Genomic DNA, 12,438 nt, shown 5'->3' with positions numbered 1-12,438 from the left:
TTCAATATGCATGTGAGTTTAGCTAACTCATTTAAAGAACTCAAAAAATTGCCTTTTGATAATGAATAAATAAGTAATAAAGCATGTGATAACTCATAATTTTTTCAATTCTAACTCTATTTTTTAATTGGTGTTATTTTTCCAAAACTCTATTCTTTGTGGAGAATGTGCTGGCAACATCAGTACTGAAAATCAATCTAAGAGTTTAGATGAGAGGTCTAGAAACAAACCTACAACAACAAAACAGCATAGAAGTACATTGTATAATGAGGGTACGGGGAGGGATTTAGGGCAACACAAAGAAGGGTTACCTAATGCAGTTCTAAAGGATGTGTAAAAACTTCCTGGAACACGTGATATTTGACAAAAGTCTTAAGAACTGAGTAGATTAAAACTAATTGCAGGATACAAGACCAATATTCAAAGATCAATTGTATTTCCAGACACTAGCAAAGAACATTTCCAAAATGAAATTATGAAAACAATTGCATGTTTAAAATAGCATGAGCCAGGCATGGTGACTCACACCTATAATCCCAGCAACTCGGGAAGCTGAGGCAGTAGGACTGCTTGAGGCCAGGAGTTCAAGACCAGCCTGCGAAAGACCAGACATAGCAAGACCCTGTCTCTGCCAAAAAAAAAAAAAAAATTAAAATTAGCCAGGGGCAGTAGCACATGCTTGTAGTCCTAGCTACTCAGGAGGCAGATGTAGGAAGATTGTTTGAGCCCAGGATTTCAAGGCTACAGTGAGCTGAAATCAACACCACTATATTCTAGCTTGAGCAAAAGAGCAAGACCCTGTATCTTTAAACAAAAAAAAAATCAAAAAGAAAAAAATACTGAGGTACAAATTTAATAAAAGCAGTGTAAGATTTGTATACTGAAAACTACAAATCATTATTGGGAAAAAATTAAAGAAGATTTAAATACATGGAAAGACACCCCATGTCCATAAGTCACAAAACTTAATATTGTTAAGACAGCAATATTCCCTAAATTGACCTACAGATTCAATACAATTAGTATTGAAATCCAAGTTAGCTTTTTTTCAGATCAGTTCTATTAATCTGAAGTCCAGAAATAAGCCCTTGTATCAATGACAAATTGATTTTTGACAAAGGTGCAAAGGCTATTCAGTAGAGAAAGAATAGTATTTACAACAAATAGTGCTGAGAAAACTGTTTATCCATATACAAGAGAATGAAGTTAGACTCCTATTTCACATCATATAAAATTAACTCCAAGGGGATTAAAGACCTAAATGTCAAAGCCAAAACTGTAAAACTCTTAGAAGAAAACATAAAAGTAATTTTCATGACCTTGGGTTAGGTAATGGTTTCCTTCGATATAACACTGAAGCACAAAGCAACAAAAACAAAAAAAAAGATAAATTGGACATCAAAATTAACTTTGTGCAAAGGCCTCCATCAAGAAAGTGAAAAGAGCGATAGGAACACGGTGATCAGCTCATGCAGCTGTAAGACACCATGAACTCGCTTTCAGATCAGTTTTGCAATGCCACTGATGTGTTGCAGCAATGTGGTCTTCCTGCCTCTTTTAATAATATTCAGACAGCAATTAACAAAGACCAGCCAGCTAACCCTACAGAAGAATATGCTCAGCTTCTTATAGCACTGATTGCACAAACAGCAAAAGACATTCATGTTTTGATAGATTCCTTACCCAGTGAAGAATCTACAGCTGCTTTATAGGCTACTCCCTTATGTAAGCTAGAAGAACAAAACCATGAAGCTGCTACATATTGTTTATCTAGGGAAATGCTTCTAGAAAAGATACAAAGTGCACTTGCTGATATTGCACAGTCACAACTGATCACAGTTACAGCTGAAGACAAGAAGTAGTACCCATGGCCAGTCTCTTCCAGACTTATAGCACCAGTGAATACTATGTGGCTGAGAAAAGGATTGTTCCAACAACATTAAGAATTCTGTCTCAGATTTAGATGGTAAGCCTTACCAACAGTTACAGAAACATTAAACACTGACATGTGTTACCTTTTTAGCTACTTTTAATAATCTCCAATTTTCACTCTTGATAAACAAGGTTATAAAACTGTGATTAAACCATCTCTGAACCATAATTTTAATTTATTTTACTTTATTTTATTCTTATTTTATTTTGAAACAGGGTCTTGCTCTGTCACCCAGGCTGGAGTGCAGCAGCAGGATCACAGATCAGTGCCACCTCGACCTCACAGGCTCAAGGAATCCTCCCACCTCAGCCTCCTGAGTAGCTGGGACTACAGAGGCACACCACCAAGCCCAGCTAAATTTTTGTTTTTATTTCATTTACTTTTATTTATTTATTTGTTTTGTAGAGATAGGGTGTCACTATGTTGCCCAAGCTGGTCTTGAACTCCTGGGCTCAAGCAATCCTCCCACCTCAACCTCTCAATGTGCTGGGATTACAGCCATAAGCCACCATGCCAGGCCAAGGATTTGAATATATATTTCTTCAAATAAAATATAAAAACAGCCAATGAGCACATGAAAAGATGCTCACCATCATCTGTCATTAGAGAAATGCAAGGCAAACCCACAGTGGGATACTACTTCATACCCACCAGGATGGAAACAACCAAAAAGAGAAAATAACAAGTGTTGAGAAGGATGTGGAGAAAGTAAAACCCTCACACATTGCTGGTGGGAATGTAAAATAGTGCAACCCTTTGGAAAAGTCTGGCAGTTTTTTAAAAACTTAAACCTAGAGTTACCATATGACCCAGCAATTCCACTCCTAGGTATATATCCAAGCACAATGAAAATACACACCTACACAAAAACTTGTACATAAATGTTCACAGCATTATTCATAATGGTCAAAAAAGTGGAAACAAATCACCTGATGGACATTTGTCAACATATATGTGGCATATTCATACAACAGATTATTATTTGGCCACAAAAGAAAACAAAAAGTACTATACATGTTACGACATGAATAAACCTTGAAAACAGTATTCTAAGTAAAAGAAGCCAGACACACACAAAAATTACATACTGTATGATTCCATTTATATAAAGTAATGAGAACAGACAAATCTAGAGAGACAGAAAAGAGATTAGTGGTTGCCAGATTGGTGGCTGGGATGAGGGAATAATGGGGCGTGAGTGTTTGATGAATACAGGGTTTCCTTTTGGGGTGATGAAAATATTCCAAAACTGGATAGTGGTGATGTTTGCACAACACTGCAAATGTACCAAATGCCATACGGTAAAATTTTATATGTGCATTTTACCACAATAAAAAAAGAAGTAAAGTACTGACACATGTTATGACATGAATGACCCTTGAGAACATTATGCTAAGTGAAAGTAGTCATAAAAGACAACATACTGTATGGTTCTGTTTATATGAAATCTCCAGAACAGGCAAATCCATAGAAAGATTAGTGGTTGCCTAGGATGAGGGAAGGGAAAAGGGAGGAGTTGAGTGCTAACGGGTACAGGGTTTCTTTCAGGAGGAACAAAAGAACAAAATGTTCTAAAATTAGACTATGGTTATAGTTGCACCGCTCTGAGAATATACTAGAAAGCATTGAACTCAACATTTTGAAAGGCTGAATTGTACAGTATGTGAATTATCTCAATGAAGGGATTCAAGGAGACAGAAAGGGAGATAACTGAGTAAGAACTGGCCAGGAAAATGAAGGGTTAGTAAAGGACAGGAATAATCAGTACAAGGATATAGGAAAGGATATAGAACAAGACCACCTTTGCTCTTGAAGATTCCATACATCTTGTTCCAAAGGAATTACCACCTAAAATAGATGGCTAGGAAATTTAGCATACAATTAGATAGAAGGAACAGGTTTCTATCCTGGGAGAAGTAATCAATAAATGTTCACTACAAAATATGAATATATGTAAATATATCCAAGCAAGTATTAAGTGGAAAGTAGAAAAACTGAGAGTACACATGTTATACACTCCATTTTCCCAACAAAGTAGGAAGTCTTTGGGTATCAGCTGAGAGTTAAGGGTATCAGAGCAGTGTTGAAAATCTATAGAAAATGACAACTTTGAACATCTCCCTGAAACAACTGAGAAAGAGAGCCCTTTTCTTGCTTCCTTATGAGACAGGAATATGGGGTGGTCACAGAAGAAATAGGAAATACCAGGCAACAGTTTCACATGACTAACATAGAAGGAACACAGAAACCAGCTACAGGAATGGGGAAGGGGGAGGAGCCAATAAGACCCTGACAAACAGGATGTAAGAAATACCAGTTAAGACAAGCTAGATCTAACATGGCACTGGATTTGACTCAAATTGTACCCCAGGTTCAATTATAAACTCATTATTATACTAAACCACATCTCAGCAGAACCATGACAGTTCCAGGTATACCTATGTTTGTTATAAAACTCAGTGGCACCTCAATTTCAAGAAATCTTATTCTCTTCCCAGAAATCCTTATGATCATTCTGCCTCTTAATTTGAAAAACATTTTTTGGTTTTGACAAACCCCAAACATATTGGGCATAACATACTCTCCTGAGTAGGCCTATACTCCCACCCTTGAGTGTGTACTTTCACTTGACAAAAAATACTTTCTACTTTTGCTTTGACTCGTCCTTGAACTCTCTCGCAAAGGTGTCAAGAACCGGGACAGTGGCTGGGGTCAAGGTCTCACCAGTGTTCAGAGGCCTCCCTAAGCCCACTGGCATCACTGATACTCCATAAGACTACAGCACCAATATTAACAGTATAGTAGACCTATTCTTGGCCTTCACCTTCAGTAAAATTCTACATCTCATTCTTCTCAACTTGCTCCTTTTTATACAATTATATAAAATTCCACAGAGTCAAAACACTTGCTAGGCCAAGTGCGGTGTAATGCCAGCACTTTGGAAGGCCAAGGTGGGCAGATTGCTTGAACTCGGATATTCGAGACCAGCCTGGGCAAAATGGCAAAAACGACGTGTCTACAAAAAAATACAAAAATTAGCAGGTGTGGTGGTGCATGCCTGTAGTCCTGGCTACTTGGAAGGCTGAGGTAGAAGGATCACCTGATCCCAGGCAGTCGAGCTTGCAGTGAGCTGAGATGGCACCGCTGCACTCCAGCCTAAACAACAGAGTGAGACCTCGTCTCCAAAAAAAAAAACATTAAACAGCACAAAATCAGATTTCCTTCTCCCTCCCTCCTTAACTTTAGTACATTTACATCTAACAAAGGCCACTGGAGCTAAAGAGAGTTGCTGTACGGCAGCTTTTATAAACTGCACCTAGACTATTCATTCTGTCACTAACCAGGGCACAGGTGCTATGTAGTTCCTAGGCTAGTGTAAATCTTAATGAGAAACAATGAACTTCCGTACACATACATGTCTTTAGCCCATATGTCTGTCAAGTCTCAGATGACAACATAAATAGAACCCAGTAAAAGTCCCAAGTATGAGGCTTCTCTACATGTGTGGTTAAAAAGCTGAAGATAGAGCTGTGTCATATAACGTTTAGTCTCTCTCTCCTCACTCTCACTCTTTAAAAAGATAACCACACCTACCACACCTAATTCCTAAAAAATGGTAAGACCAGCGTGATGGTTGAGTGTCAACTTGATTGGATTGAAGGATGCAAAGTATTGTTCCTGGGTATCTGTGAGGGTGTTGCTAAAGGATTAACATTTGAGTCAGTGGACTGGGAGAGGGAGACCCACCCTCAATCTGGGTGGGCACCATCTAATCACAGCTGCCAGCACAGCTAGGATAAAAGCAGGCAGAAGAACGTGGAAGGACTAGACTGGCCAACGCTTCTGGACTTCATCTTTCTCCCATGCTGGATGTTTCCTGCCCTCAAACACTGGACTCCAAGTTCTTCAGCTTTTGGACTCTTGGACTTACACCAGTGGTTTGCCAGAGGCTCTTGGACCTTCAACCACAGACTGAAGGCTGCACTGTCAGCCTCCCTACTTTTGAGGTTTTGGGACTCAGACTGGCTTCCTTGCTCCTCAGCTTGCAGATGGCCTACTGTGGGACTTCATCTTGTGATTATGTGAGTCAATACTCCTTAATAAACTCCCCTTTATATATACATCTATCCTATTAGTTCTGTTCCTCTAGAGAACCCTAATACAAACAATGACAGATGGCTGGAATAAAACCATAGTCTCCCAAAGTGACTACTTTGAAGAAGACAATACTCATTTAAAGGTACAGAATCTGATGGAGTTGTTTTAAATCAGTTAAATTTTGCACGTAATCATATTTCAAATAAACACACTTTGGATGAGTTGAACAAAGAGATTAACTTTAGTGCATGTCTTAACAAAAGTTATGTTCTTCTCCTGTGCAGGAGAATTAAGACCAAGAGTATGCAACAGACTTAGACACTGCAGTGCAACAATGTGGACTGTGATTTAAGGCCATGATATGGTTTGATTGCATCCCCACCCAAATCTCATCTTGAATTCCCATGTGTTGTGGGAGGGACCAGTGAAAGGTAATTGAATCATGAGGGCAGGTCTTTGCCGTGCTTTTCTCATGACAGTGAATAAGTCTCATGAGATTTGCTGGTTTTATAAGAGAGTTTCCCCTGTACATGCTCTCTCTTTGCCTGCCACCATCCACGTAAGATGTGACTTTTTCCTCCTTGCCTTCTGCCATGATTGTGAGACCTTCCCAGCCACGTGGAACTGTAAGTCCATTAAACCTCTTTCTTTTGTATATTGCCTAGTCTTGGGTATGTCTTTAATACCAGCGTGAAAATGGACTAATACAGTAAATTGGTACCAGGAGTGGGGTGCTACTGAAAAGATACACAAAAAAGTGGAAGTGACTTTGGAACTGGGTAACAGGCAGAGGTTGGAACAGTTTGGAGGGCTCAGGAGAAGAAAGAAAAATATGGGAAAGTTTGGAACTCCCTAGTGACTTGTTGAATGGCTTTGACCAAAATGCTGATAATGATATGGACAATGAAATCCAGGCTGAAGTGGTCTCAGATGGATATAAGGAATTTGTTGGGAATTGGAGCAAAGGTGACTATTGTTATGTTTTAGCAAAGAGACGCAGCATTTTACCCCTGCCCTAGAGATCTGTGGAACTTTGAACTTGAGAGAGATGATTTAGGGTATCTGTGTGAAGAAATTTCTAAGCAGCAAAACATTCAAGATGTGACTTGGGTGCTGTTAAAGGCATTCAGTTTTAAAAGGGAAACAGCATAAAAGTGTGGAAAATTTGCAGCCTGATAATGTGATAGAAAAGAAAATCCCATTTTCTGGGGAGAAATTCAAGCCAGCTGCAGAAATTTGCAAAAGTAACAGGGAGCTGAATGTTAATCACCAAGACAATGGAGAAAATGTCTCCAGGGCTTGTCAGAGACCTTTGCTGCAGCCCCTCCCATCACAGGCCTGGAGATTTAGGAGGAAAAACTGGTTTTGTGGGCCAGGCCCTTGGTCCCCCTTCAGTGTGCAGTCAAGGGACTTGGTGCCCTGTGTCCCAGCTGCTCCAGCCTTGACTAAAAGGGGCCAAGGTACGGCTCAGGCTGTTGCTTCAGAGGGTGGAAGCCCCAAGCCTTGGCAGCTTCCACATGGTGTTGAGCCTGCGGGTGCACAGAAATCAAGAGCTGAGGTTTGGGAACCTCCACCTAGATTTCAGAAGATGTATGGAAATGCCTGAGTACCCAGGCAGAAGTTTGCTGCAGGGACGGGGCCCTCATAGAAAACCTCTGTTAGGGCAGTGGAGAAAGGAAATGTGGGGTCGGAGTCTCCACACAGTGTCCCTATTGAGGCACCGCCTAGTGGAGCTATGAGAAGAGGGCCACCGTCCTCCAGACCCCAGAATAGTAGACCCACTGACAGCTTGCACCATGCACCTGGAAAAGCCGCAGACACTCAATGCCAGCCCATGAAGGCAGCGGGAGGGAGGCTGTATCCTTCAAAGCCACAGGGGTGGAGCTGCCCAAGACCATGGGAACCCACCTCTTGCATCAGCATGACCTAGATGTGAGACATGGTGTCAAAGGAGAGGAGACTGTTTTGGAACTTTAAGGTTTAATGACTGCCCTGTTGGATTTCAGACTTGCATGGGGCCTGTAGCCCCTTGTTTTGGCCAATTTCTCCCATTTGGAACAGCTGTATTTATTCAATGTCTGTACTCCCACTGTATCTAGGAAGTAACTAATTTGCTTCTGATTTTACAGGCTCGTAGGCAGAAGGGACTGCCTTGTCTCAGATGAGACTTTGGATTGTGGACTTTTGAGTTAATGCTGAAATGAGTTAAGACTTTGGGAGACTGTTAGGAAGGCAGGACTGGTTTTGAAATGTGAAGACATAAGATTTGGAAATGACCAGGGGTGAAATGATATGGTTTGGTTGTTTCCTCACCCAAATCTCATCTTGAATTCCCACATGTTGTGGGAGGGATTCAGTGGGAGGTAACTGAATAATGGGGGCAGGTCTTTCCCATGCTGTTCTCATGATAGTGAATAAGTCTCACAAGATCTAATGATTTTATAAGAGCAAGTTTCCCTGCACAAGCTCTCTCTTTTCCTATCACTATCCTTGTAACATGTAACTTGCTCCTCCTTGCCTTCCGCCATGATTGTGAGGCCTCACCAGCCATGTGGAACTGTAAGTCCATTAAACCTCTCTTTTGTAAATTGCCCAGTCTCAGGTATGTCTTTATCACCCGAATGAAAATGGACTAATACAGGCCATAAAAACAAAGGCAGGGGAAAAAATACCTGCCCATATAAAGATCTTGAGTAACCCATTCAGGTAGGCATTAACTCACTTTTATGGCTGTCAAGAAGCTAACATTTATTAACTCAAGATATAATAGGAACACACTTTTTTGTTTTGTTGCTCTAGTTTTGATGTTGCTGATATAAGAAAAGAAGTGGTGCTGTGGTTTGGGGGTTTTTTTTAAACAAGAAATGTCTTTCGATGGGTAAGAACTGGTAATGTTTATGTATCTCTTGACTTCTACCACTGTCATAACAGAGAAATAATTTTAATCATTACAGAAGCAATAAATCAAATATCAAGACATAGTGATTGGGCTATATAACAAGTGTTAAAGTAGCTATTTCTAACTGAAAGGAGTACTTCTTTCATATGCCTGGATTTTCTAAATTGATTCAATGGGTATGTTTCTTATTTTTCAAATATATAGTCATTTGGAATTCCTATTATTTTTATCTAGCCAGATCAAAATTATCTAAAATAAAAAGTATATAAAAATTGCTCTTTGTTAAGCCCATACTAAGTTGTTATTCTTAAATATAAATGACTAAGATAATCTCTTAAGATATATATATATTTCAGATTCTTGGTCACAGAGAGGAAAAAGCCGCAGGAAGCTGCACTCTGTTAGATTAAGCCAGCTAGTATAAAAAGCTCATGACCAATTATTTGGAACAGCTGCAACTGAGTCACTGAGCTAAATTTTAAAACCAACCTAAGTTTATCAAACAAACTCTAAAAAATGCTTACAAATTTAAAGGTACAGATAGTAATTTTTGGTTGTTGGTTTGTTTTCACTGATGTCTGGTTTTTAGGATTTGTTGTTGTTGTCTGTTTACAAGCACTACTAGTTAAGTTGCTAAGGATTCCTACTTAACATAAAAAGAACACCTATATTTATTAACACAACCTCAAAATAACATAAATATGGTATCTGGGGTTTCATTTTTGATTAAGAGATTTGATAAAGTGAAAGAAATGTCTGAAATAAACTTATTCTTGAAATTTAAAAACATATCTTAAATTTCAAATGATTGTGTTTACCTTGTGTTCTTTAACAATCTCTGAATCCCCAGACATTGACACACAGCCCAATTACTTTATATGTAAAACACTTGAATTATTATATGAGCTACCTTTCCATCCTTTCCTTGAGTCAATGAGTAAGCATAGTTAAATGTTTGATCTGTGTATTCAGCAACATTCAAGAATTTACTTAAATGTTGCTTTCAGAGTGCGCTCCCTTCTGAAGATTGTTTATATAAAGGGCACATGTTTATCAGTTTCTAATATTTTAGTTGGTAGAGATAGATAAGATCAAGTCTAAACTTAGCTATTTTTCTTTTTTTTCTTTTTTTAGACAGAGTTTCGCTCTTGTCACCCAGGCTGGAGTGCAATGGCGCAATCTTGGCTCACTGCAACCTCCACCTCCCAGGTTCAGTGATTCTCCTACCTCAGCCTCCCGAGTAGCTGGGACTACAGGCACATGCCACCATGCCCAGCTATTTTATCCTTTAATATAACAATAATTCTAATACTCTGTTGGAAGGCAATTCATCGATGTCCCTTGTTTCTTCATGTCCTGTGAGAAGATGCACTGACTTATTGTTCTGAACTATTTTGTTTACACCGTAAACACTTGGAAGATAAGCTCTGCTTCAGCAACAGATTTGGGGGCAGCTTTGGAAATAATAATGTCTCCTTCTAGGTCAAAGGGCAGTAAAGCATACTTACTACATGCTATAAAAGATTTGACGCCCTAGCCTCAGAGCTCCTCTCCTATAATTCAGCTCACTGCATGTGTAGGTATAATCTGGCCTTCTTTATTTCATCCTGTGGGAATAGGAGCTTACAGAATTGAAACAAATAATACACTGGCTACTATTATTGCTGTGAGTAACCAACAGCCCTTCATCTCTGACCCAGAGTTTCATTTCTTCTGCCAGCATCCTGAAACCACGGCAGGCTAACTTGTTAGTTTGTCAATAGAATAAAATCTCAGACATTTCATGGTTTTTGATAATCTAACACATATTGATATAATTTCATTAAGTATCTATTGAATGTCCTCAGTGTGCTAGCACTAGTTTTAACTTATAATGAGACTTGAATTCTGGATCCACCATGAGTTGACAGTGTCATTAGGAAAAGATCACATTCTAAAGAAAAGATACTTTAGCCTCACTGGCTGCTCTTAAAAGCCATCTCTGCATTGTTCTCAGTCCTGCTCCCTTCTCACAGCAGCCACCTCCACAGCAGGAAACTCTGCAGCTTGATCACCAGAGTCCCTGAACTCTCTCTTTCTTTTTAATCCCCTGCATCGGATCACTGGCATGCTCCACCGTGAAGCAGCCGTGGACACCAGCTCCGAGATCACCACCAAGGGCATAAAGGAGAAGGAAGTTATGGGGAGGCAGAAAATGGAAGAGATGTCCCTGCTAATGGGAAGGCTAATTAGGAAAATCAGGATCAGAAGGCTGGCAATGAGAGAGATGAAAAAGAAGAAGAAGGAAGTGGGGAGGAAGAGGAAGAGAAATAAGAAGATAATGGTGAGGAACAGGATGGAGATGAAGATGAGGGAGCTGAGGCTGCTGGGGGCAAATGGGCAGCTGATGAGGATGACAATGTTGATACCAAAATAGACCAAATAAGGATGATCAGAGAGCAAAAAAAAAAAAGTTAAAAAATATCTGAAAGGCCACCATGACATATTTACTCTCCATTTCCATCTCAGAATCTAAACACATGGTCACCTTTGAGGAGAGAGGCCCAGCAGTGCTACCTGTAAATGATGCATGCTCTCCACCACCCAAACAAAACCACAAGAATTTGTAACAGAGAAGGAAAAAGAACTAAAGGCCCTGCTTGTTTTTTAAAAGTACTTGAAAAAGGAAATTTGTTTGTATTTTTAATTTACATTTTATATTTTTGCACATATTGTTTGGGTCAGCCATTTTTAATGATCTCCAATGACCAAACCACCCTTCAGATTGTTCTCTGTCCTACTTCTGACTTTACTTGTGGTGTGACCATGTTCATATTTACAATCTCAAAGGAGGAAAAATCCTGTTTAAAAAAAGCAAAACCAACGACAAAAAAAAAACTATCTTATCCCAAGAATTCCAGTAAATTTTTTCATGTATGTACTTAGCTGTACTATAAGTCATTGGTTTGTATGAAATGGTTAAAAAGGCCAAAGATAAAAGATTTGGGGCAGGCACGGTGGCTCATGCCTATAATCCCAATACTTTGGGAGGCCGAGGTGGGCAGATCACCTGAGGCCTGGAGTTTGAGACCACCCTGGCCAACATGGCAAAACCCCATCTCTACAAAAAATACAAACATTAGCCAGGCGTGGTGGTGTATGCCTGTAATCCCAGCTACCGGGAGGCTGAGGCTCAAGAATCATTTGAACAACACAGGAGACAGAGGTTGCAGTGAGCCGAGAGTCACGCCACTGCACTCCAGCCTGGGTGGCAGAGCAAGACTCTGTCTCAAAAATAAAATAAAATAAAAATAAATACAAGGTTTCTTTTTTTTCCTCTTTTGTCTATCAAATTTTGAATTGCTGGGTTTTTTTCTTTGTTTTTTGAGTTAATGCCTACCTGTAAAACAATGCAGTCCAAAAATAAACTGGAATTTTAGTTTGCTGACTTGTTAAAAAAATAAAATAAAAAATAAAGGTACTTTATGCACCTTTTTGAAAACTTTAAGATCACAGAAATTTTTACAAC

At 39.4% G+C, this 12,438-nt stretch overlaps 1 protein-coding gene and 2 pseudogenes across 47 annotated transcripts in view, besides 1 other annotated feature; 2 read left to right on the top strand and 1 right to left on the bottom strand.

Annotated features, from left to right (window-relative positions):
• Positions 1 to 12,438, bottom strand: part of RIMS2 (regulating synaptic membrane exocytosis 2) — a 755,485-nt gene that overhangs the window by 685,656 nt on the left and 57,391 nt on the right. The window lies entirely within an intron of this gene.
• LOC101101841 (mediator complex subunit 21 pseudogene) lies at positions 1,445 to 2,105 on the top strand (annotated as a pseudogene).
• Positions 4,782 to 4,944: a silencer, noted in NCBI's record as "fragment chr8:104577723-104577885 (GRCh37/hg19 assembly coordinates)". NCBI's record gives its function as "represses an EF-1alpha promoter that drives an FKBP-Casp9 reporter gene in an ReSE screen in HepG2 liver carcinoma cells {active_cell/tissue: HepG2}" and the evidence as "EXISTENCE:reporter gene assay evidence [ECO:0000049][PMID:32094911]".
• Positions 10,884 to 11,910, top strand: PTMAP15 (prothymosin alpha pseudogene 15; annotated as a pseudogene).

This window comes from Homo sapiens, chromosome 8, assembly GCF_000001405.40.
Source record: "Homo sapiens chromosome 8, GRCh38.p14 Primary Assembly".
Lineage (NCBI taxonomy): Eukaryota > Metazoa > Chordata > Mammalia > Primates > Hominidae > Homo > Homo sapiens.
The sequence above is the reverse complement of the archived record's forward strand: the minus strand, read 5'-3'. Positions and strand labels throughout refer to the sequence as shown.